General features: G+C 43.6%; 1 protein-coding gene across 44 annotated transcripts in view; it reads left to right on the top strand.

Annotated features, from left to right (window-relative positions):
* ZNF41 (zinc finger protein 41) overlaps window positions 1–26,280 on the top strand; it is a 38,045-nt gene extending 11,765 nt beyond the window's left edge. For 4 of the 44 annotated variants that reach the window (XM_017029814.3, XM_017029810.3, XM_017029815.2 and 1 more), the window contains 4 exons: window positions 3,788–4,134; window positions 15,044–15,186; window positions 15,442–15,537; window positions 21,984–26,280. In XM_017029814.3, the coding sequence (XP_016885303.1) occupies window positions 3,977–4,134; window positions 15,044–15,186; window positions 15,442–15,537; window positions 21,984–24,028 (2,442 nt within the window). In that variant the 5' untranslated portion in view covers window positions 3,788–3,976 and the 3' untranslated portion in view covers window positions 24,029–26,280. Of the gene's footprint in view, window positions 1–1,615; window positions 1,714–3,697; window positions 4,135–15,019; window positions 15,187–15,441; window positions 15,538–21,983 lie in introns of those variants that run through there. The other 40 variants (NM_001324147.2, NM_001324144.2, NM_153380.3 and 37 more) reach the window with 23 other exon arrangements.

The raw sequence follows: 26,802 nt of genomic DNA, 5'->3' as shown, positions 1-26,802 counted from the left end.
CTTTTTTGGAGACAGAGTCTCACTCTATCCCCCCAGGCTGGAGTGCAGTGGTGAGATCTCAGCTCACTGTAACCCCCGCCTCCCAGGTTCAAGCAATTCTCCTGCCTCAGCCTCCCGAGTAGCTACAATTACAGGCGTCTGCCACCACGCCTGGCTAATTTTTGTATTTTCAGTAGAGATAGGGTTTTACCATATTAGCCAGGCTGACCTCGAACTCCTGAGCTCAGGTGATCCACCCACCTCAGTCTCCCAAAGTGTTGGGATTACAGACATGAGCCACTGTGCCCGGCCATGCGTAGGCTTTTCAATAAATGGTGCTGGATCATCTTGCTTCCATATGAAAGAAATGAATCTTGACTCTAACACATACCACATGCTAAAATCCTTCCCAGATGGACTGTGGACCTAAATGTGAAAGCTAAAATGATAAAACTTTTACATGACCCTGAGGTAGGTGAAGGTTTCCTAACAAGCCAACCATTAAGGAAAGAATGATCAACGATATGGTGTGTTTCTATCAAATGCTTCATTTCACATCTTCATCATTTTGTTTTAGACATGTTGCAACTATATTTTGTTTTTTAGCCCAGTCCCATAATCTTTGTCTTTTGTAGCAGAATTCAACTCATTTCAATTTCTTTGCATTATAACATACTTGATTTTATGCCTCCTATTATTTTTTTTCCTTTTTTTCTCCTATTATTTTTTGTTTACTATTTTTTTTTTTTTTGAAATAGAGTCTCACTCTGTCCCCCCAGGCTGGAGTGCAGTGGCACGATCTCGGCTCACTGCAACCTCCGCCTCCTGGGTTCAAGCGATTCTCACGCCTTAGCCTCCCGAGTAGCTGGGATTACAGGCACCTGCCACCACGCCCGGCTAATTTTTGTATTTTTAGTAGAGATAGGGTTTCACCATGTTGACCAGGCTGGTGTCAAACTCCTGACCTCAGGTAATCTGCCTGCCTCAGCCTCCCAAAGTGCTGGGATTACAAGTGTGAGCCACTGTGCCTGGCCGGTCGTGTTTCTCTTTTTTTTTTTTTTTTTTTTGAGACGGAGTCTCGCTCTGTCACCCAGGCTGGAGTGCAGTGGCACAATCTCAGCTCACTGCAACCTCCGCCTCCTGGGTTCAAGCAATTCCCCTGCCTCAACCTCCTGAGTAGCTGGGATTACAGGCACACACCACCACACGCAGCTAATTTTTGTAATTTTAGTAGAGACGGGGTTTCACCATGTTGGCCAGGATGGGCTTGAACTCCTGACCTCGTGATTCGCCTGCCTCGGCCTCCCAAAGTGCTAGGATTACAGGTGTGAGCCACTGCGCCCGGCCTCAGTCATGTTTCTCTTTCCTTTTAGGTTTTTATTACTTTTGAATTTTGATTGTTTGGAATTTTGATTATTTTTTAATCAATTTCTGCTAGTAGTTGCCTTTACCTTCCTTACAAATATGATTGTATATATTTTCTATATTACTAAATCCAAATAATATGGTACCAATATCTGCCCATGGAAATTTGTAATTTGCCTTCTCCTCATTTCACTCAGTAAATTTTCCAGGGAATTTGTTTGTTCGTTTGTTTGTGTTTTTTTGAGACAGTCTCTCTCTCTCTCTCACTCAGGCTGGAGTGCAGTGGCACGATCTCGGCTCACTGCAACCTCCGCCTCCCAGGTTCAAGCGATTCTCCTGCCTCAGCCTCCCAAGTAGCTGGGACTACAGGTGCGTGCCACCACGCCTGGCTAATTTTTTATATTTTTAGTGTTTCACAGTGTTAGCCAGGATGGTCTTGATCTCCTGACTTCGTGATCCGCTCGCCTTGGCCTCCCAAAGTGCTGGAATTACAGGCGTGAGTCATGGCACCCGGCCAGGGAATTTTTAAATTTCCACATAGTTAATAGTAACAGCCTTATTTACTACAAATGCCCAATTACATTGTTTTTCTTTATCCAGATATAATTATATATCAATTGCAAGAATCCTTTCTCAAAACTGCTTTCCTGTTTTGACATTTCTGTTTCTATTCCATTTACCATTGTTTAGACTATTCCCTTGAGTGTTCTCCTGAGATTGGAATATTGGCATAAAATGCTAGAAATGCTTTTATATCTAAAATTGTCTGTCTTTTTTTTTTTTTTTTTTTTTTTTTTTTTTTTGAGACGGAGTCTCGCTCTGTCGCCCAGGCTGGAGTGCAGTGGCGGGATCTCGGCTCACTGCAAGCTCTGCCTCCCGGGTTCACGCCATTCTCCTGCCTCAGCCTCCCAAGTAGCTGGGACTACAGGCGCCCGCCACTACGCCCGGCTAATTTTTTGTATTTTTAGTAGAGACGGGGTTTCACCGTTTTAGCCGGGATGGTCTCGATCTCCTGACCTCGTGATCCGCCCGCCTCGGCCTCCCAAAGTGCTGGGATTACAGGCGTGAGCCACCGCGCCCGGCTAAAATTGTCTTTCTTTTGCTCTGACAAAAGAATGGTATCTAGCTAGGGCAGGTTTAGAATTCTTGGATGTCAGTCCTTCTGTCTCAATGATTTGTAGAGTTTTCTTCTAACATGGCTTCTGTTGTTGCAAATAAATCTAGTGCCATTGTGATCCCTTTTCCTTGTAAATGACGTGTTGGTTCTGCCTGGAAGTGTTGGAAATGTCAGTATCTGAGGTCATCGATTCAGTCCATGAGAGTTTATTGATTGGGGTGCTAAGGTGGTGAATGATTGCAAGTCTGGGATTCACAGGGATTACAAGTCAGTTTTGGGGGGCCTGTAGCAGTCCTGGATTGGGACCTATGGACATTGGTTATCATAGTACTGTGTGAGTTGCTTTGTAATGGACTAGAACTTCTATTACTGAGGGTTTTATGGGAGTCATTGATCCTATTGATGGTGTGCTGCCTGGGTTGGTGATAATTTGAGGAGCCTGTGGAAACCAGTTGATGACACCATTTGGGACACAGTTTTTTGTCAACGGTGTGGGCTATAGGGATTTGGGAGCCTGTGCAGACCTGCAGGTTTTCAGGGCCTGATGGGAAGGGATAAGTATGAGTTTTCATCTTTGACAGAAGAAGATGGGCTCTATCCTTTGCATAGAATGTACACTGAATTACACAGAAGCTCAGTTTATGCTCAAGTGGCATGGTCACCCCTCAGCCAGAGCACTTTGAAGGTAGCAGGAACCACAGTGTTTATTGTGATTCTGCCATGTATAGAGTACCAAATGGCTCAATAGTTAAGAAAGTATGCTTTGGAGCCAGGCATACCTGGGTTTGAATCCTTGTCCTTCCCCCTTATCTGAGTGATCCTGGGGCAAATTTCTTAATATTTCTGAACAGCTCTATCTGATGGTAAATGGGATTAGTAATAATAGTAATGCCTAGTCCACAGGATGAGTGTGAAAATTAAATGAGGTACCTAATAAAACATGCCTCGCACCTTGTAATAATAGCACTATTTAATATGAGTTGAGCATGTTCCAGGTACCAAGTAGGTGTGCGTAGAAGCATCATTTCATTTAATTCTAACAACCCTATGAGATAGGTATTTTCATCCTGTTAAAGATGAAGAAACTTCACATAAAGTGACTTCCCCAAATTCTAGCTAGAACATAGAAGAGCTTAAATACAAACCCTCATTCATTTTACACCAGATCTTGTGAATTTTCCCCATGTTTTGCTTTAATACTTGGTGTGGGTTTTACCGAACTTTTCTCTTCCGCAGCATCCAGCACAGTGAGCGGCCCCTGGGCACCACCAGAAAACATTTGTGAGTGAACGTGGAGTGATGACCATGTGGACACTGTCTTTCCAGGGTTTCTTGGAGCCTCTGCAGAGTCTGGGGGCCAGGCTTCTTAGTGGAAACTGCAGGATCTTCCTTCTGACCCCTGCTTGCCTCGCCCCAGCAGCTCCGGTTGAGTCCACAGATGCCAGCTCAGCTTCCAGCTTGGGGAAGAGTGGGGTTGTCAGCAGGAGAGCCTGAGGGCTGAGGCCCAGCGTGAACATGGCAGCTAATGGGGACTCTCCCCCATGGTCCCCGGCCCTGGCTGCAGAGGGACGTGGCAGCTCATGTGAGGTGAGGAGGGAGAGGACCCCAGAGGCAAGAATTCATTCAGTGAAGAGATACCCTGACCTGTCCCCAGGGCCTAAGGGCAGAAGCAGGTGAGTCAGAGGAAGTGGCAGATTCCGGACCTGCCACCCTGGAGACAGATCAGGGTCCTCTTGCTGAGAGTGAGCACCACTTGGCTGATGAGGCCACATCCAAAGCCCCGTGTGTTTCAGTGGACAGTGTAATGTGGCTGATTACACTAGAGGAGAGGGAGAATGTGGAAGGTGAGCCCTACAGCCTAGGGAGTGGGGGCAGCTCCCTGCAGGGCAAATGAGGGTGAGGTCCAGGTAGAAGCAGCCACTATCCATAGCCAGGGAGCCTCCATCCCCCACCACAGCACCAACCCTTCCCTCTCCATCGGCTCTTTACAGATGTCGGCTGATCCCCACCAGTGCCCCTTTCCCCCAGGTCTCTGGGGATCTGGCGATTTCTCCTCTATCCTGATTTAGGTAGAGAAAAATCCTTTTTCTTTGGAACTTAGAGACTGGCAGGGTAGTAGGGCCACCACAGTCTCTGGGGCCGTTCTGGCTGTCCCTTCTTTCAAAGACGAATAAAATGGCCGGGCACGGTGGCTCATGCCTGTAATCCCAGCACCTTTGGGAGGCCGAGGTGGGTGGATTGCTTGAGGTCAGGAGTTCAAGACCAGCCTGACCAACGTGGCGAACCCCCATCTCTACTAAAAATACAAAAAGTTAGCTGAATGTGGTGGCACATGCCTGTAATCCCAGCTACTTGGGAGGCTGAGGCAGGAGGAGAATGGCTTGAACCTAGGAGGTGGAGGTTGCAGTGAGCTGAGATCATGCCACTGCATTCCAGCCTGAGTGAGACTCAAAAAAAAAAAAGATGAATAAAATGCCCCAGAAGACACATGACTCGCCCAGGCCTCTCAAGTTGGCGGTGACAACACTAGACTGGAGCCAGGTCTCCTGACTGTGTCTTCCACCCTCACCGCACCACAGCTGAGATCAGGTTTCCCGCTCAGAGCTCCCTTTCAGATCAGAGTTCCCATTGAGATTCTATAAGCCGAGGAGGACCACGAGCGAGCCAGACCCTGCCCGACAGCTCCCTCCTTTCAGACCTACCTGTGGATGCTGTTGGCTCTGGAAGGGTTCATTATCTCAGGGACTCAGGGTCATGCAGTCATTAGGATAATATTAAACTTTTAAATTTTTTTTTTTGGTCATTTTATAACTTCATAATAAAATATTAGAAAGTATACGTTAGCAAATAGAAGAAACTAAAAAATTACTTGTCGTTCCAACATTACCCAAAGTTAACCAGTGTTAACATTTAGCTGTATTTCCTTTCAGTTGTTTTTTCCTTTGTATGTGCATGTGTGCATGTGTGTGAGTATACGTGTGGGGCCAGAGTGTGCTACATACTATACACATACACATATATAGCTAAAGTTTTAAAACAGAATCATACTCTTTGGTTACCTCATTTTTAACTGGGCAGTTTAACATAATTTGCTAAGCAGCAAGTATTTTTCTTCATACACTTATGATGTCCATAATTTAGCCAGTTCACTATTTTTTTAATTTTATTTATTTATTTTAATGTTTTTTCTCTGAGGCAGTCTCCCTCTGTTGCCCAGGCTAGAGTGCAGTGGTGCAATCTCAGCTTACTGCAGCCTCAACCTCCTGGGCTCAGGCGATCCTCCCACCTGAGCCTCCCAAGTAGCTGGGACTACAGGCACATGGGACCACACCCAGCTGGGCTCAAACTCCTGGGGTCAAGTGATCTTCCTGCCTTGGCCTCCCCGAGTGCTGGAATTACAGGCTTGAGTCACCACCATACCCTGCATATTTTATTTTTAATTGACGAATAATAATTATGTATATTTATGGTGTACAATGTGATGTTTTGATATTTGTATACATTGTAGAATATTTAAATCAACCTAATTAACATATCCATTACCTCAAAGACTTATTTCTTTGGTGATGTGAACATTTAAAATCTGCTCCCTTTGCAATTTTGAAATAACATTACATCATTATTAACTATAGCCACCAAACTGCAATAGATCTCAAAAACTTATTCCCTCTAACAAAACTTTGTATACTTTGACCAATGTCTCCCCATCCCCCCACAACCAGTCCACTAATAATGTGCATTTAGGGTATTTCAAGTTTTCTATTGTGATTAAAACTGCTATGATAAAATTCCTACATTTAAATCTTTCTGCCAGCTGGGCATGGTGGCTCATGCCTATAATCCCAGCACTTTGGGAGGCCAAGGCGGGCAGATCACTTGAGCTCAGGAGTTTGAGACCAGCCTGGGCAACATAGTAAGACCCTATCTCAACAAAAATACAAAAATTAGCCAGGTGTGGTGGTGTGCACCTGTAGTCGCAGCTACCTGGGAGGCTGAGGTTGGAGAATCATTTGAGCCCAGGAGGTTGAGGCTACAGTGAGCCGAGATCACACCACTGCACTCCAGCCTGGGTGACAGAGTGAGACTCCATCTCAAAATAAATAGTAAATAAATAAATCTTTCTGTCAAGTCATTGAAATTATGTTTTTGAGTCAAAGGTATAGGGTCATTAAATAGCAAGGGAATCAATGCTTGACAGTAGTACACTTCAACCTTGTCTAAGCTCTGCTCAATCATGTCAGTCACGGACCCACAGGTTAGGGCCATGACAATGTGGTCCTCCCCACTCCTGCACATGGCCTCTTGCCCAGCCAATAGTAGGGATTTCTAGACGAATGATTCTGGGCTCTGCAAGGCACATTTCTCCATTCATCTCTTCTTTCCCAACCACAGATCTCTGACCCACCTCAAGAGATGGAAATGACCGAGACCCTGGGGGGAATATTATTTATTGACTTATTTATTGGTTAGGTTCTTGGTTTTTTCATTAAACATCAGGGAGCGGGGTATAGGCAGAGATACCTAGGAACCAATAAAAATATCCCCAGGGTTTGAGGAGCAGCCAGTTGTACCAAGAAACAGTGGCTGAAGATGGAGAAGAAGCAGAGGGATCAGTAAGGTAAAGAGGGCTGGGAGGAGTCACAACGGAATAAGGAACAGGTACCATGGTGCACTTACTAGAGATGAAGAATAGCCAAGGGGTCCAGGGTATAGGTGGAAGAATAATGAAGCAAACAGGACATGAGTCAGACGCTGGAGCCAGAGACCAAGAAACAGTTTCTGAGGCTGGAGAAGTGGTGATCACTGAGGAGCAGGGAAGAGCCGAGGGTTAAAGAACAGTGAGAAGGATCATGAAATAGGAGGAGGTATCAGGAAATAGAGGAACCAAATAGCAGCCAGACGGAGCAGTCAGTATCCAGAGGGGTGAGGAAGCAGAAGAATCAGATAAAATGGAAAAGGCAAACATATCCAAGGAACTGGGTATGAGCCTGAGGGACAAGCAACTTCCCGAGGAACCAGGAAGCAGTTCCTTGGTTTAGAAGAGAGCTTGAGGGCACAGGCAAAAGACAGTGATACCAGGGAACAAGAAATGTGAAATACGACCCAGAGAATGGATTGCAGTCAGAGGAAGCAGGAGACAATTGCTGAGGCTGTAGAATGGGCAGAGGGATCAGGGAAGGGACAGAGCCCATGGAACAGGTGGAAAGATGAGAGAAGAGCCTCTGAAGCTGCAGAATGGCCTAGAGTACTGTGGAACACCTGGAGCAAGGAACAGTCACTGAGGCTGGGGGGCAGCCAGAGGGAGCAGCCAAAATGTGCTTGGGGCTGAGGGTCCACCAGAGGCCCTGGGAAGTAACCAGAGGAACTAGGGAACAAGTCAAGTGAGCATTAAACATGTATCCAGTGTGGGTAGCAGCCTGATTGACCAGTGGCCAGCTAGAGAGACTAGAGGAGAGCCAGAAAGAATGGTATAACTGAAGCGAGTTAACAGCCCGAGGGCCCATGCAGTAGTTACTGGGGTGAAGGCACAGTTGGAGAGTCTGGGAAACAGCCAGAGTTCCCAGGACCATCCTGGTTTGCCTGTGACTGAGGGGACATGGGACTTCCAGTGCTAGAACAGGAACATTCCTGGGCAAACTGAGACACTTGGTCACCCTACCCAGGAAGCAATCAGAGGAACCAGCCAATAGTTAGATGTAATGTTGAGTAATGGAGGCAGTGGAAGTACAGAATCCAGCTGTGGCATAGAACACGCAATAGTGCACTTTAGTGGGTAAGGGCATAAGCTAGCTAGTTAGGTACTACTCAAAGTGTGGTCCACAGACCAGATGCATGAACATCACGGGAGAGCATAGTAGAAATGTATTCAATGGCCAGGCACGGTGGTTCGCACCTGTAATCCCAACACTTTGGGAGGCCAAAGCGGGAGGATTGTTTGAAGACCAGCCTGGGCAACATGGTGAAACCCCATGTCTACAAAATAAATAAATATATGTGTGTGTATGTGTGTGTGTGTGTGTGTACACATATGTGTGTGTGTGTGTGTGTGTATATATATATATGTGTGTGATATATATATATATATACATACAAAAAAAAAATCAGCCGGGTAGGGTGGTACTGAGGTGGGAGGATCATCTGAGCCTGGGAGGTGGAGGCTGCAGTGAGCCGTGATTGTGCCACTGCACTCCAGCCTGGGTGGCAGAGTGACGCCCTGTCTCAGAAACAGGAAGGGAGGAAGAAAAAGAAGGAAAGAATGGAAAGAAAGAAATGTACTCAAGGAACTGTCCAAGGACAGGGAAGAATCAGGAGACTAGAGATTAGTCAGCAGAATCCAACAGCAGTCAGTCTGTGTGAGCCAGGAACAGCTGGAAGGAACAAGAAAGGCCCTTAGGGACCAGGGAACAGTCAGGTAGACTAGCACACAATCAGAATGGTGCCACAGAACAAGGATCAGCTGGAGGGACAACAAAGGGAACACAGGACAGTCAGAACAGGAAACAGGAGGCATGAATAGTTAGAGCGATCCAGGTAGAGTCAAAGAAAGCGATAAAAGAACGGGGGTACTCGGAAGGAACAAGAGACATTTAGAGGGAATAGGAAACAGAGGGACCAAGGAAAAGTCAGAGGGAACAACGACCAGCAAAGGGAGCAGGGACAGATCTGGGCAGGCAGCAAACAGCTGTACAGGAAGCAGCAAGGGAAGCGGGGAAAGCCAGAGGGAGGGAAGAGCAGTTGCAGGGCCACAGAGAACAGTCCCGGGGAACAGGAAACACTCAGATGGACAGGGAGGAGTAAAAGTAAAAATACAATTTAAAAATTTAAAAATTAGCTGGGCATGGTGGGGTGCACCTGTAGTCTCAGCTATTCAGGAGGCTGAGGCCGGAAGGATCCCTTGAGCCCGGGAGTTTGAGGCTGCAGTGAGCCATGATTGCACCACTGCCCTCCAGCCTGGGCAAAAGTTTTTACAGCTGGGTGCTGTGGCTCATGCCTGTAATCCCAACTACTTAAGAGGTGAAAGGGTTGCTTGAGCCCAGGAGTTTGAGGCCAGCCTGAGCAACACTGTGAGACACCCTCCTGCACCACCATCTCTACAAAAAAGTAAAAATAAAATTTAAAAATTAGCTGGGCATGGTGGTGTGCACCTGTAGTCTCAGCTACTAAGGAGGCTGAGGCGGGAAGGATCCCTTGAGCCCAGGAGTTTGAGGCTGCAGTGAGCCGTGATTGCACCACTGCATTCCAGCCTGGGCAACAGAGCAAGATCCTATCTCAAAAAAGTAAAAAAAGAGGCCAGGCACAGTGGCTCACACCTGTAATCCCAGAACTTTGGGAGGCCGACTGGGCAGATCACTTGAGGCCAGGAATTCTAGATGAGCCTGACCAACATGGTGAAACCCCATCTCTACTAAAAATACAAAATTAGCCAGGCACTGTGGCAGGCATCTATAATCCCAGCTACTCAGGAGGCTGAGGCACTAGAATTGCTTGAACCCGGGAGGCAGAGGTTGCAGTGAGCCAAGATTGCACCACTGCACTCCAGCCTGGGCGACAGAGTGAGATTCTGTCTCAAAAAAACAAAGGAAAAAAAGAAAATATCCTGGCCAGGCGCGGTGGCTCAAGCCTGTAATCCCAGCACTTTGGGAGGCCGAGCCGGGTGGATCACCTGAGGTCAGGAGTTCAAGACCAGCCTGGCCAACATGGTGAAACCCTGTCTCTACTAAAAATACAAAAATTGGTTAGGCGTGATGGTGGGTGCCTGTAATCCCAGCTACTAGGGAGGCTGAGGCAGGAGGATCACTTGAACCCGGGAGGTAGAGGTTGCAGTGAGCCAAGATCAAGCTACTGCACTCCAGCCTGGGCGACAGAGTTAAGATCCTGTCTCAAAAAAAAAAAAAAAGAAAAGAAAAGAAAATATCCTTAATTTTTTTTACGAAGACAGTTGATACTGTACATATATTGAATACTGATTTTTTAAAATCACTGTTTTTAAACCTTTTTATCATGAAATATTATACATATTTTGAATAACGCCACTATAAATATTCTTGAATGCATCTCCTGTTGTACATGTGCACATATTCCACGTGGGCATATATATTTCCATGAGTGGACTCACTGTGTCATATTGCCTGCATGTCTTCAACATTACCAGTTAGGGCCAAAATACTTTCCAGCACAGTTGTAGCAATTCCCACCTCCTCCATCAGCAGTATGAGAGTTCTTGCACCATATTCTCTTCAACACTTGGTATTATCAGTCTTTTTCATTTAAGACTTTCTAGGGGTTGTGTAATGCTATCCTTTGTGGTTTTAATTTGTATTCCCTGGCTACTAAGAAGGTTAAACCTTTTTTTATGTTTATTAAAGCCTTGGATTTCCTCTTTTGTAAAATGAATGCTTCACCCATTTTTCTACTAGGTGGTCTCTTTTTTTCTTATTGGTTTGTACAAGTTCTCTACATCTTCTAGCTGAGCCCTTTGTTGATAATGTATGTTGGAGATATCTTCTACTCTGTGACTTTCCCTTTGTTCTCTTTTAATGCTGTGTTTTAAATGAATAGTAGTTCTAAGCTTTGTTGTAGAAAGACTTATCAATTTTCATGGTTCATGTTTGAGAACTATTTTCCTAATTCAAGGTCATGAAGATAGCCATCTGTATTATCTTCTAAAGGCTTTATAGTTTTTGCCTTTCACATTTAAGTCTATAATACATCTGGAATTTATATATACTTTTGAAATGGGATCTCACTCTGTCACCCAGACTGGAGTACAGTGACACAAACATGGTTCACTGCAGCCTCCACCTTCCAGGCTCAAGAGATCTTCCAGCCTAGCCTCCTGAGTATCTGAGACTGCAGGTGCTTGCCACCCCACTCAGCTAATTTTTATATGTGTGCTATATATTTTATTTTTTTGTAGAGACCGAGTCTCGCCATATTGCCCAGGCTGGTTTTAAACCTGGACTCAAGCAATCCTCCTGCCTTGGCCTCCCAAAGTGCTGGGATTACAGGCATGAGCCACTGCACCTGGCCTTGGAATTGATTTTTTTTTTTTTGAGATGGAGTCTCGCTTTTGTCACCCAGGCTGGAGTGCAATGGCGTGATCTCAGCTTACTGCAACCTCCGCCTCCCAGGTTCAAACAATGTTATTGTTTTGGCATGTAATGTGAAATAGAGCTCAGATTTTACTTTATTTTTTCTATACACAACCTTGTCTTCTTTTCTTTCTTTCTTTTTTTTTTTTTTTTTTTTTTTTTAGATAGGGTCTTGCTCCGTCACCCAGGCTGGAGTGCAGTGGCACAGTCATGGTTCACTGCAGCCTCAGCTTCCCAGGTTCAGGTGATTCTCCCACCTCAGCCTCCTGAGTAGCTGGGACTACAGGCACACGCAACCATGCCTGGCTAATTTTTTGTGTTTTTTGTAGAGATGGGGTTTTGCCATGTTGTCCAGGCTGGTCTCAAACTCCTGAGCTCAAGTGATCCACCTGCCTCAGCCTCCCAAAGTGCTGGGGTTACAGGTGTGAGCCTCCACGCCCAGGCCCTGGCAACATTTGTTGAAAATATTTTTCCTCACTATCTGCCTGGACACCTTTGGCATAAATCAGGTGACTGTATATGTGGGTCTGTTTCTGTACTCTTTTTTCTTTTTTTGAGACTGAGTCTCACTCTGTTGTCCAAGCTGGAGTGCAGTGGCCCGGTCTTGGCTCACTGCAACCTCCGCCTTCCAGGTTCTAGTGATCCTCCTGCTTCAGCCTCCCAAGTAACTGAGACTACAGTCACGTGCCACCATGCCCATGTAATTTCTGTATTTCTAGAAGAGACGAGATTTCTCCATGTTGGCCAGGCTGGTCACAAACTCCTGACCTCAAGTGATCCACCTGCCTCAGCCTCCCAAAGTGCTGGGATTACAGGCCTGATCCACTGCACCCGGCCTGTACTCTATATTCTGTTGCAATGGATTATTTGTCTATCCTAGCACCAGGACAACAATGTCTTAAATTTCCATTGCTTTGTAAGTCTTGAGGTCTTGTAAAGCATGTCCTCCCACATTGCTTTAACTATTCAAGAGTGTCTTGGCAGGCCGGGCACAGTGGCTCACGCCTACAATCCCAGTGCTTTAGGAGGCTGAGGCAGGTGGATCACTTGAGGCCAGGAGTTCTAGACCAGCCTAGGCAACATAGGGAGACCCCTGTCTCTACAAAATACAAAAAAAAAAAACAAAACAAAAAAAAAACGAAGCAGCATATGGTGACGTATGCCTGTGGTTGAGGCTGCAGTGGGCTGTGGTTGCGCCACTGCACCCTAGCCTGGGTGACAAAGTGAGACCATGTCTCTGAAAACAAGATACAAAATAATTTTTTTTAAACGCCTTAGCTATTCCTGGCCATTTGCACTTCCACAGAAATTTTAGAATTGGTTTGTCAGATTTTACAAAAATCCTGTTGTGATTTCAATTGGGATGGCATTGAATGTATTGATTTCTGCTTTTTAAAGATTTTTTCTCTTGGGCTTTACTCTATTGTTATTTTTATAATGTCTTTATTTCAATGCTTAATGCATGGAATTTTGGACTTTATTCTTTTGTAATATGAGCACTGGAGACCCTAATTTCCACTTTAGTTACCATTTCTTAATCCAATAAATTCTTACATGTACTGATTACATTGATATTGAGTGTATCTTCTTAGACGATCAGTTATTTTGAACTGTATTTTTAAACTTTAAAATGATGATTTCAGAAAAGTTTCGTCTTATTACTGATTTCTGACTTAAATACACTTGGTTTAGAGATGGTCTGTAAGAGATGGTTTCTGTATCGTCTCTATCTGTGTGCCCTTCCTGGTTCGTCTCATCTGTTTCCCAGCTCTATATGAGAACTCCCAAATCTTACCTCTATAATAGCCCAAAAGCTTATTGTATAACTCCCTGCATGTTTTACCACCTTTATTTCAACATGGACAAAATGTAACATTATGTTTCATTCTCTTCCCCACTCCCTTCCTAATCTACTAGCCCCTCTCAGTATATAACACCACTGTCTGCATGGTTGTACAAAACCGATAACTGAGAATTGCCCTAGAATTCTTTTTCTCACTCCCATAATTCAGGCTCTTTAAAACACAGCATGAACACCTTCTTTTTGTTTGTTTGTTTGTTTGTTTTTGAGATGGAGTCTCGTTCTGTCGCCCAGGCTGGAGTGCAGTGGCGTGATCTCAGCTCACTGCAACCTCCGCCTCCTGAGTTCAAGCAATTCTCCTGCCTCAGCTTCCCGAGTAGCTGGGATTACAGACACCCGCCGTGCCCGGCTAATTTTTGTATTTTTGGTAGAGACGGGGTTTTTGCCATGTTGGCCAGGCTGGTCTCGAACTCCTGACCTCAGGTGATCCGCCTGCCTCAGCCTCCCAAAGTGGTGGGATTACAGGCATGAGCCACTGCGCCCAGCCAACACCTTCTTTTACTTGCCCATGACAACCACTGCCTTAAGTCCAGATTGTCTTATTCTCTCACATAAACTCTGTAGTGCATCTCCAGACTGATCTGGACTCACCCATTTCAAACATTCCTCGTGATCAATCCTTTTTTTTTTTTTAGACGGAGTCTCACTCTGTATCACCCAGGCTGAAGTGCAATGATACAATCTCGGCTCACTGCAACCTCCACCTCCTGGGTTCAAGCAATTCTCCTGTCTCAGCCTCTCAAGTAGCTGGGATTACGGGCGTGCGCCACCACGCCCAGCTAACTTTTGTATTTTTAGTAGAGACGGGGCTTTACCATATTGGTCAGGCTGGTCTCGAACTCCTGACCTCAGGTGATCCACCTGCCTCAGCCTCCCAAAGGGCTGAGATTACAGGAGTGAGCCACCATGCCCAGCCTGATGTATGTTGAATACTGTTTGAAATCACACAATTACCATCATGTCTTTTCCTGCATATAAATTGCAGTCCATTCTCTATTAGAAAAAAAGACTTGTTCCTTTTTCTGATGCTAGTATATCTCTACTGGATTTTCCTCATAGTCACCTTCTCAATATACTATACAGACTCCTTTCCTTTATATGGTACTACTTGCAGTTCCCAGAATCCACCATGTATTTTTCTATTTTCCTTTCTCCACACTGTTGCTCATGCTTCTCCCTTCTAGATAACTCTCGCCCCACTGTCTCTATGAAATCTAACCTTATACCTCCTATACTTTTCTTCCAAATTCCTAAAGCTCCCTTTGTGTCTGCTGTTGGTTATCCAAGTCTTTAAGTTGCTTTATATTTTACTCAACTCTTTATCACCATTGCCTAGCACATCATCTGACACATAATCGGCCAGTATCTTGTTTTTAAGTTAGCTGGAGGACTTAAAGAGAGCCCATTTAAAATCCTCATTTTGAAAAGAGAATGAATGAATAAATGAATTAATGTAGTACACAACAAATGTCAAGATACTTTAATAAGTTTTTTAGCTCTCACAAAATAAAATACAAAACTAAGTACTTAGTGAAAACCCTACATGATACATTATGGTAAAAAGCATTAAAAACAACTTGCTATCTACCTTCTTCCATCCCCCAGTGCTGACCATGCTGCCTTGAACAGCATTGTGTCGTTACAGGCTTCAGTGTCATTTGAGGACGTGACTGTGGACTTCAGCAAGGAGGAGTGGCAGCACTTGGACCCTGCCCAGAGACGCCTGTACTGGGATGTGACACTAGAGAACTACAGCCACCTGCTCTCAGTGGGTAAGCACGGCCGCCCTATGCATCTGCTAATGAGGGTATTTCCATTCTTGGCTGCTGAGTGCTGCCCGACACCTAACCTATGTGATGGTGTCATCCTGGATTTGTCTGGGATTCAGTTCCTTTTCACCTCTGTGATTATTACTCTGTTCCCAGTGAAATGTGTTTACTTTTCTGAAAAGCAAAGGGAAAGTGTCACTGAAAGGCCCCTGAAACCCAATCAGCTGGACCCAATCGTGTATCATGTCCTGTTAACAGGGTACCAAATTCCCAAGTCAGAGGCTGCCTTCAAGTTGGAGCAAGGAGAGGGGCCATGGATGCTGGAGGGGGAAGCCCCACATCAGAGCTGTTCAGGTGAGTGAGCATGACCCAGACAGATGGGGACATGGAAGTCAGTATCACTTTCCCTAGGAAAGCCCGATGCCTTTGAAACACTCTGAAGATAACCCATCTTGAAAGTTCTAAACTTTTGGAGTCAATTGGAGATAGTTGACAATAGCCCTCAAATACCTAAATGCCATTTCCATGTATGACCCTTGCCACATTATTGTCTTCTTTGATTGGCCTTTTGGCAAGAGAGCTGTCTCTAGTCTCTGTACTCTGTATCACATACCACCCTGTCTTATCTAGGACCTTTTTATTCTTCCTACTCTACCCCTGCCCCCCATCTTAGTCTTTTCTTATACATCCAAGTGTTTTAAAATTTCTGTGGCCCAGGCTGGAGTGCAGTGACATGATCTTGGCTCAATGCAACCTCCACCTCCCAGGTTCAAGCGATCCTCCCACCTCAGCCTCCCAAGTAGTGGGGACTACATGCACATGCCACCATGCCCAGCTAATTTTTGTATTTTTTGTAGAGACGTGATTTCACCATGTTGGCCAGGCTGGACTCGAACTCCTGGGCTCAACTGATCTGCCTGACTCGGCCTCCCAGAGTGCTGGGATTACAGGTCTTTGCTGGGATTATGGGTCTTTTTTTTTTTTTAATTTTAATTTTAATTTTTATTTTTATTTATTTATTTATTTTTTGAGACAGAGTTTCGCTCTTGTTGCCCAGGCTGGAGTGCAATGGCACGATCTCGTTTCACTGCAACTTCTGCCTCCCAGGTTCAAGCGATTCTCCTGCCTCAGCCTCCCTAGTAGCTGAGATTACAGGCATGCGCCACCACACCCAGCTAATTTTGTATTTTTAGTAGAGATGGGGTTTCTCCATGTTGGTCAGGCTGGTCTCGAACTCCCAACCTCAGGTGATCTGCCCGCCTCAGCCTCCCAAAGTGCTGGGATTACAAGCATGAGCCACCGCGCCTGGCCAGGTCTTTTCTTTTATTCCAATTCTCCATATCCATTCTTTATGCCTCCTCCCATGGGCAGCTGATCTAATGTGTTTGAACCTTGAAATTGTGTGATATTCTCTTAAAGCCTGAAGTATTGGTTTATGAGTATGTATTTTTATTATATATTAAACATATTGTACTATGTTTCTCAATTCTGTTCCTTTTTTTTTCACTCATTCCTATGGTCTCTCCATATTTTAGTGTGTTTGTCTGGCTTTGTTCTTCAAATTGCTACATAGTATTTCACAATGTCCCCAGCACCACATCATACTTAACCACTCACCTAGTCATGGAGGCTGATCATTGTGTCCAAGTCCCATCTAATACAAACAATTCTGCAATCAACTTCTACATAAATGTTTCCTTACAGGGTATGAGAATTTCTCAGGGATGTGTAGAGAAGAGAGGATTTGCACCTAATCATGGAGTACCTCATCCAGAATAGGACTGAGTACCACCATATTATTCTCAGATTAGCTGCACTGTACAAGTGTTCTGGCTTCCCCAGTGTTTCTGCTAACAATTAGTAGTACCAGAGTTTCTCATTTTTTGGTCAATAGTGGGTATAAAGGGGTAGCTCTCTGTTTTTTTTTTAACCTCGTGATGCAACAGTAGGGTATCTAATTTTTAATTTGGACATTTCATGATTTACCTGATACCTCTTTGAGCTTCCCTCCTATGAATTACCTTGTTCATAACATTGCCCTGGTTTCAATTGTGCCTCCTCAATTGTCTGTTTCTTACTGATCTGCATCCCATTTATTATTTGCCCCTTTTTCAGCCTTCTCTTCCTCATTTTCCCCATAAGCAAGGTTTCCCTAGGGACCTTTTCTCCTGTTCAGTCTTTTTCTTTTCTTTTTTTGTTTTTTGAGACAGAGTCTCACTCTGCCACCCAGGCTGGAATGCAACGGTGCCATTTCGGCTTACTGCAGCCTATGCCTCCTGGGTTCAAGCGATTCTCCTGCCTCAGCCTCCTGAGTAGCTGGGATTACAGATGTGCACCACCATACTCTGCTAATTCTTGTATATTTAGTAGAGATGGGGTTTTGCCATGTTGGCCAGGCTGGTCTCGATCTCCTGACCTCAAGTGATCTGCCTGCCTCAGCCTCCCAAAGTGCTGGGATTATAGGTGTGACCCACCGCGCCCGGCCAGCTCCATATTTTCTGCTGCCTGAATTGTAATTATTCTATTCCTGATTTTATTTGCTGATTCCATTGTTTTTACTAGTTCATATTAAATGCTAATGACAGATATCTTTACCTAAAACATTCTATTTCTCTTGTCATGAGCATTATGAAACAAACCTACAATTGTTCTCCATTACCTAGTATATGACAATTAAACTCTTCTTTCAAAGAAATAAACAACATGGCCACATATTTCCAGTTCAACTCGTATCTGTATATTTTCTGTAACCTCTGCTCAACTCCATTTTTAATATTTTCTTAATGTTGACCATATCTGATAGTCCTCCCTGAATCTGTTTATTCTGTGCTCTGTCTATTCAGATGAGACATTTTCCACCTTGTGATCAGTTCTCACCTGTCTCACAAAATGGCTTTTAATTATTCTAGTCTGTATGGCTCTTTCCTTTTTCTCATCCTCCATCCCACAAGAATTCTGAGAAAATCACAGGATTTTAGTGTATAGGGTAACTGAGGCTTTTACCTCTATGTTTTTAGAAAGTCTCCGGAATTAAGAGCCTGTTTCAGGCTGAGTGTGGTAGCTCATGTCTGTAAACCCAGAACTTTGGAAGGCCGAGGCGGGAGGATCACTTGAGGCCAGGAGTTCAAGACCAGCCTGGGCAACACAACAAGATTCCATCTCTATTTCAAAAAAATAATTTAAGAAAAAAGAGCCTATTTCTTTTTATAGAAAAATCTATTAATTTGACACATAAGAATTGTATGTATTTATCATGTACAACATGATGTTTTGAAATATGTATACATGAAGAGCCTATTTCTTGTAGTATAACTCAGGGTCTTACCGAGGGAGAAACCACAGACTAATGTGAACAGAGAATGGTTAACATAAAGATTCTTTGCAGCCAGGCGTGGTGGCTCACACCTATAATCCCAGCACTTTGGGAGGACAAGGCAGGTGGATCACCTGAGATCAAGAGTTCAAGACCATCCTGGCCAACATGGTGAAACCCCGTCTCTACTAAAAATACAAAAATTAGCTAGGTGTGGTGGCCCACGCCTGTAATCCAGTTACTCAGGTGGCTGAAGCAGGAGAATCGCTTGAACCCAGGAGGCAGAGGTTGCAGTGAGCCATGGGACTGGAATAATGAGGGATTTGCTAGCAAAAAAAGAAACTCTGAAGAATAAAGGAATAGCAGATAGAAAGCACAGCAGGTTCTTCTAGGGTTGTGAGCAAGCATCCAAGGAAGAGGCTCCCTACTTCCCAGGGATGAAATTCAGACCTTGTAGGGAGGGCACAACCATGGCTCGAGGCAGGTAGAATACTTGCTGTGGTGCTGTGCTGGTGGAACTTGCTGGAAACCTGCCCTCTAGGATTCCAGGGAAAGCTATTGATGCGGAGGTGACTCACTGGAGCTATTCCACTACAAATCGTCTGAGAGTAAACTGGGGGGTGTTGGGTGCTGCTGACTGTACAGCACTGCGGGGGCCTGCAGGAACTAGGTGCTTGGGAAGCCATATGAGCTGCAGGAGCTGGGTGCTGGAGAAGTCACCCACACTGCAGGAGCCGAGCTCTAGAGAAGACCGCGAGACCTGGGTACTGGGGACACTACATGTGCGTCAGGAGCCAGATGTTGGCAAAGATGCCCACACTACATGAGCCTGGTGCTAGACAGCCTGCCCCTGCTGGATGAGCCTGCTGAGTGAGCCCCCTAGAACCAGGAAGCAAACCCTCCTCATCCTGCAGTGTCTCTCTAGCATCTTACACTGACAAAGTTTAATATCGTGCCAGCTGGCAGAAGAAAAAAATATTTAAAGAGATCGAGATCCACTTTTTAAAGTTTTAATTTTTATGGGTACATAGGTATATATATTTATGGGGTACATGGGATATTTGGGAGTTTTGGAGTTTTTTATTTTTGAGACAGAGTCTCGCTGTCACCTAGGCTGGAGTGCAGTGGTGCAATCTTGGCTCACTGCAACCTCCACCTCCCGGATTCAAGCAATTCTCCTGCCTCAGCCTCCCGAGTGGCTGGGATTACAGGTGCATGCCACCATGCCTGGCTAATTTTTGTATTTTTAGTAGAGACAGGGTTTTGCCATGTTGGCCAGGCTGGTCTCTAACTCCTGACCTCAGGTGATCCGCCTGCCTTGGCCTCCCAAAGTGCTGGGATTACAGGCACATGCCAACATGCCCAGCTAAGTTTTGTATCTTTAGTAGAGACGGGATTTTGCCATGTCTCAAACTCCTGGCCTCAAGTGATCCACCCACCTCAGCCTCCCAAAGTGCTAGGATTACAGACATGAGCCACCGCACCCAGCCTGCATGGGATATTTTGATACAGCATACGATGTGTAATAATCACATCAGGGTAACTGGGGCCAGATCCGTTTTTGTTGAGCAGGCAAGGAAGGGTGAATTTGGAACTGAGAGGCAAAACATTGATAACCAGCATACTTATTCTTCAGTTTCCTGAAGTGGAGCATGTAGAAAATATTTAGTAAATGAATTTATTGAATTTGGGGATATAGGCAGAGGAGGAGATTTTTCCTCTTTCAGATGAAATTTTCAAGTGTCTGCTCAGAGGAATTCAAAGGAACATACATTATATTTGGAAAGGGAAGATGACTGCATGAAATGTTAACACTCTCACCCTTTGTGTATTTGTCCTTTCTGTTATAAAACTGTGCCAAACTGAGTATCAATATGAATGGTACAGTGTCTGCTTTACAAATTCATAGCAAACATAAGCTCCCTAGAGGTATACCAAAATTAGAGCTAATATTTAGAAAGACAATACATTTTGGATATGCACAGAGGAACAAAACAAGAGGCTAAATATAGATGTATGTCTTCCCCTACATGATAATTCTGAGGTGAATGGGTCCAGTTCAACAAGTCAACTCTAATCCTGATGGGTCATTCAGGGACCATGTTCTAAGTCACTCCTCTGGCATCTCCTGGGGCATTGTTGTCACCTGCCTGGTTAATGATGGGTCACTGTGTAGTCCAGTGGGAAGAGGGAAGAGGAAATAGAGGACATTTGCCCACTGTCTTAAGGCTGGCCTGCAAGTAGCATATATCACTTCTGCTCATATTCCACTGCTGAGAACATAGCGAGGCCAGTGGATGTAAGGCCCAGCTACATTCTATTCCTGTAAAAGAAGGGGAGAATAGATCTCAGGGGAGGGCCTGCAGATTCTGCCACAGATAGCTTTCCCTTTCCTCTTTTACACGCCTTGTTATAAGCATGTATTCCTGGAACCAATAGAAACTGCAGCTGGGGCCGGCACGGTGGCTCACAGCTGTAATTCCAGCACTTTGGGAGCCCGAGGTGGGCAGATCACTTGAGGTCAGGAGTTCAAGACCAGCCTGGCCAACATGGTGTAACCCCGTCTCTACTAAAAATACAAAAATTAGCTGGGCGTGGTGGTGCATGCCTGTAATCCCAGCTACTCGGGAGGCTGAAGCAGGCGAACCACTTGAACCCGGGAGGCGGAGGTTGCAGTGAGCCGAGATCGCACCACCGCACTCCAGCCTGGGTGACAGAGCAAGACTCCATTTCAAAAAAAAGAAAGAAAGAAAGAAAGAAACTTGCAGCTGGTTATAAAGTTGGAGTGCAAATGTCTATTTACTGTTTGTCTATGTCAGGATGGCATGTTGCAACTAGTTTTCCTATAGATATAAAGGAATTGGTGTTTGAGGCATATAGATTTAATGTTCAAATTAACATTAAATTTGAAGGGCTCCACTCATAATGGTATAGAGGGAAAAGCAAGAAGAAGCAGAGAGCTTAGTAAAGTGGTGGAGCTGATATGTATTAAGAACATAAATTCTGAAATATTTCTTCCATGCCAAGCTTCCCCTCACAGGCTGCAGTTTCTTCTGGTTACTCTACTCACAATCCAGGCCTCTTACATAGTGGAGCTGGACTCCCAGAGTTCAAATCCCATCTCTCCCACTTATTTAGCTATTCGATATTCAGCAAGTTGCATGACTTCTCTGTGCCTCTGTTTTCTAAATTGTAAAACAAATGATAATCGTAGCTACCTCATAGGGTTTAGCTACCTCATAGGGTTAGTTAAATGAGCTGTTTCATGTAAAGCACTTGTAACAGTCTCTGTGCATCATAAATGGTATACAGTTGTTTTGCATTTATTAAGTGTTCTATAAGAATGTTGTGTTGCTACATTATTACTACTATATTGTCCTATGGGCTCTTCCATTTATCTGTGTTCATCCTGTCTGAACTACATGTCCCCTCTAGCCTCTGCTGATTGTTCTTTGTGTCGTTTTCATTTCTTTCATTTTCTTTTTAGGTGAGGCTATTGGGAAAATGCAGCAACAGGGAATTCCTGGAGGAATTTTCTTCCACTGTGAGAGATTTGATCAACCCATAGGAGAAGATTCATTATGTTCTATTTTAGAAGAACTGTGGCAAGATAATGACCAGCTAGAGCAACGTCAGGAAAACCAGAATAACCTTTTAAGTCATGTGAAAGTATTGATTAAGGAGAGGGGCTATGAACATAAAAACATTGAAAAAATAATTCATGTGACTACCAAGCTTGTTCCTTCAATTAAAAGACTCCATAACTGTGACACAATTTTGAAGCATACTTTAAACTCACATAATCATAATAGAAACAGTGCAACAAAGAACCTTGGCAAGATTTTTGGAAATGGTAACAATTTCCCCCATAGCCCTTCCTCTACTAAGAATGAGAATGCTAAAACAGGAGCAAATTCCTGTGAACATGACCACTATGAAAAACATCTCAGCCACAAACAAGCTCCCACCCACCATCAGAAAATTCATCCTGAGGAGAAGCTTTATGTGTGTACTGAATGTGTAATGGGCTTCACTCAGAAGTCACATCTGTTTGAGCATCAGAGAATTCATGCTGGAGAAAAGTCCCGTGAATGTGACAAAAGCAACAAAGTCTTCCCCCAGAAACCCCAGGTTGATGTACATCCAAGTGTTTATACAGGAGAAAAACCCTATCTGTGTACTCAATGTGGGAAAGTCTTTACCCTCAAATCAAACCTCATTACACATCAAAAAATTCATACCGGGCAGAAACCCTACAAATGCAGTGAATGTGGAAAAGCCTTTTTCCAGAGATCAGACCTCTTTAGACATCTGAGAATTCATACAGGAGAAAAACCTTATGAATGCAGTGAATGTGGAAAAGGCTTCTCCCAGAACTCAGACCTCAGTATACATCAGAAAACTCATACCGGAGAGAAACACTATGAATGCAATGAATGTGGGAAGGCTTTCACAAGAAAATCAGCACTCAGGATGCATCAGAGAATCCACACGGGAGAGAAACCTTATGTATGCGCTGACTGTGGGAAGGCCTTCATCCAGAAATCACATTTCAACACACATCAGAGAATTCATACTGGAGAAAAGCCGTATGAATGCAGTGACTGTGGGAAATCCTTCACTAAGAAGTCACAACTCCATGTGCATCAAAGAATTCACACCGGAGAGAAACCCTATATATGTACAGAATGTGGAAAGGTCTTCACTCACAGGACAAACCTCACCACACATCAGAAAACTCATACTGGGGAAAAACCCTATATGTGTGCTGAATGTGGAAAGGCTTTTACTGACCAGTCAAATCTCATTAAACACCAGAAAACTCACACTGGAGAGAAACCCTATAAGTGCAATGGCTGTGGAAAAGCCTTCATATGGAAGTCGCGCCTCAAAATACATCAGAAATCTCATATTGGAGAGAGACACTATGAATGCAAGGACTGCGGGAAAGCCTTCATCCAGAAATCAACACTAAGCGTGCATCAGAGAATCCATACAGGAGAGAAACCGTACGTTTGTCCTGAATGCGGGAAGGCCTTTATCCAGAAATCGCACTTCATTGCGCATCATAGAATCCATACTGGAGAGAAGCCTTATGAATGCAGCGACTGTGGGAAATGCTTCACTAAGAAGTCACAACTCCGTGTGCATCAGAAAATCCACACAGGTGAGAAGCCCAATATATGTGCTGAATGTGGAAAGGCCTTCACTGACCGATCAAATCTCATAACACATCAGAAAATCCACACTAGGGAGAAACCCTATGAATGTGGTGACTGCGGGAAAACCTTCACCTGGAAGTCACGCCTCAATATACATCAGAAGTCTCATACTGGAGAAAGACACTATGAATGTAGTAAATGTGGGAAAGCTTTCATCCAGAAAGCCACACTAAGTATGCATCAGATAATTCATACAGGAAAGAAACCTTATGCTTGTACAGAATGTCAGAAGGCCTTTACTGACAGATCGAATCTCATTAAACACCAGAAAATGCATAGTGGAGAAAAACGCTATAAAGCCAGTGACTGAGAAAGTCTTCACCTGGAAATCACAACTGGGTATGCATCAGGTATCTAATAGCAGGGAGGAGGAAGGCCTGTTGCTGCAATCATTGTACAGGGGGAAATGGGTATGAGAGACTGAGGCTTGAGTGAACTGAAGGCAAACAGAGCCAAGTATCCTTCAGTCCACTGGAAAGACAAGTTCCTGCATCACCACAGTGTATATGCAATTCTATGCATAGGAAGAGCCTTTAGAGAAAGCATTTGAGCGAAAGTCATGTTTGGTGACATGATTCATACAGACCTCTTGAGCTCCTGGAAATAGTAGAATTAAGACCTGAGGAGATGACTCGTCATCTCTTATGCTTCACTTTTTGGATAAAGAACTTTTTAAATTCAGTACTGATTGGTTCAGCATATCCTGGGACATAAAAATACTCACTACTGGGAAAAACTTTTTCAAATTTCTAGGTTGAGGAGAAGAGTTTTCATTGTCCAAACACTGGCAGGGCACTGACATCAAGGCAGAAAACCTACTTGGGAATGCAGATATCTGTTTTTGTGATCATTGGCACTTAAGACATAGAAAAGATTTCCATGAAAAACTTTTTTCTTTTCCCTTGGGAAGTCCTCATGGTATATATATTTTAAGTGCAATGGAATTTTTAAATTTAAAGATATAACTTTATGAATTGAGAAATTAGGCCTAGCTCTAGGCTATGTTACAGAAATATAGTCATTGAATGATACAGACATATAAAGGTAGTAGTTGTCTCATTATTAATTCCCTGCTGGGAGAGCAGATGAGTCATACCCTATAAGAAGTATGCATGCCTTCTAACCTATGTCCCCAAAGCTGTCATTTGCATAAGCTGCAGGCCATAGATTCCTGATTCCCTCAGTAACTGACCCTACGACAATGGAACTGATCCACGGCACTCTAGATTTTCAGGCTAACCCACCAACACCCCTGCTTTCCTTGGGATTTCCTGAAAAAGAATGGTTGAAAAATTGAGTTTCACTTCCTAATATTTTGTTTTTCTTCCTATTTGGTTAAGGTATATTCATTTCCTACATGCACATTAAGGGTAGTTTTGTGTAGACTGCTATGTGATAAAGTCATGTTGCATTGCAATTAGTTATTCTAAGACATAATTACAGTTTATCATAGTTGAATAACTGGAAGACTTCTCAAGAAAGAGCACTGCTCTTTTTTAACACTGATATATAGACACGTTCTCATTTTCCCTTAAACATTTTTTACAATACTCATAAAAAGGAACTTTCTTTCTAGCATGCAATTGTATTTTTATTTTATTTTAAAATCTTTTTATTAAACTATAATGTATACAGAAAATGCATATATCATAAACATACAGCTCAGTGCATTCTCAAAAACTGAACATACTCAGATCAAGAAACAGAACATGACCAGCACCCCAGAAGCCTTCCCCACTTTCCCTTCCAGGCAAGCCCCCAAGGGTATACATTATCCTGGCTTCTCACAGCATAGATTCATTTTGCCTGTTTTGTATTTTATATAAATTGAGTCAATTATATATCATATAATTGAGCCATATACTCTTTAGCATCTGTCTTCTGTCATTCACATTATGTATGTGAGAGTCATCCATATGTTGCATATAGTTGTAGATAATTCATTTTCATTGTCATGTTGTATCCCATTCTGTGAATATGCTGCAATATAATTTATCCATTCTACTGTTTGTAGACATTTGGGTTGTTTGCAGCTTGGGCTATTAGGAATTGTGTTGCTGTGTATTGGTGAACATATGTATGTATTCCTGTTAGGTATGTACCTAAGTGTATCCATATGTTCAGCTATATGTTATAAAACCAGTTTTCAAGTGGTTGTACCAATGTACACTCCCACCAACCCAGTATGCGAGTTCTAGTGCTCCACATACTTGCCAACATTTGGCATTTTCCATCTTTTTTACTATAGCCATTAGTGGTGGGCATATAGTGATATGTCAGTTTTAGTTTTCGGTTTTATTTTCTTGTCCTCCAAACCATTGTAGTATCTCCCCAGGATAGATGAGTGATGGCTGAGACCTGAGACCTAGGCCTGTTCCTCACATGACTGCACCATTTTACATTCTATCAATGTATGAGGTTTCCGGTTTCTCCACATCCTTACCAACTCTTATTATTATTAGTCTTTTTTATTATAGCTATCCTAGTACATGTGAAGTTATATTGTGATATTAATTTACACTGCCCTAATGATTAATAATATTGATCATCTTTTATTGAGAATCTTTGATGAAGTGTCTGTTTAAATCTTTTGCCCATTATCAGTTGGGTTATTTGGGTTTTTTTATTGTTGAGCACTGATAGTTTTTAAAAATATATTCTGGGTGTAACTTCACTATCAGTCCATTATCCTTGCAAAGGTTTTCTCCCAGTCTCTGGATTGTCTTTTCATTCTCTTAAGAGTGTCTTTTGAAGAACAGAACTGCTTATTTTGATGAAGTCCGTTCTTTCCATTTGTTCATTTCTGGGTTGTGCTTTGAGTGCTGTATCTAAGAAATCCTTGCCTAACCAAAGATTACAATGATTTTTTCCTGTGTTTTCTTCTAAAGGTTTAAGTTTTACATCTAGATCTAGCATGTATTTTGAGTTATATGGTGTGAAATATGGATCCAAGTTCTTTTATGTTTTTGTTTTGTTTTGTTTTGTTTTTGCTTATGGATATTCAAATGTTTCCACACCATTTGTTTAAAAATACTACCCTTTCTCAATATTTTGACTTTTGTCAAAAGTCACTTGTCCAGGCCA

Source organism: Homo sapiens, chromosome X (assembly GCF_000001405.40).
Source record: "Homo sapiens chromosome X, GRCh38.p14 Primary Assembly".
NCBI lineage: Eukaryota > Metazoa > Chordata > Mammalia > Primates > Hominidae > Homo > Homo sapiens.
This window is presented reverse-complemented; position numbering and strand designations above follow the sequence as displayed.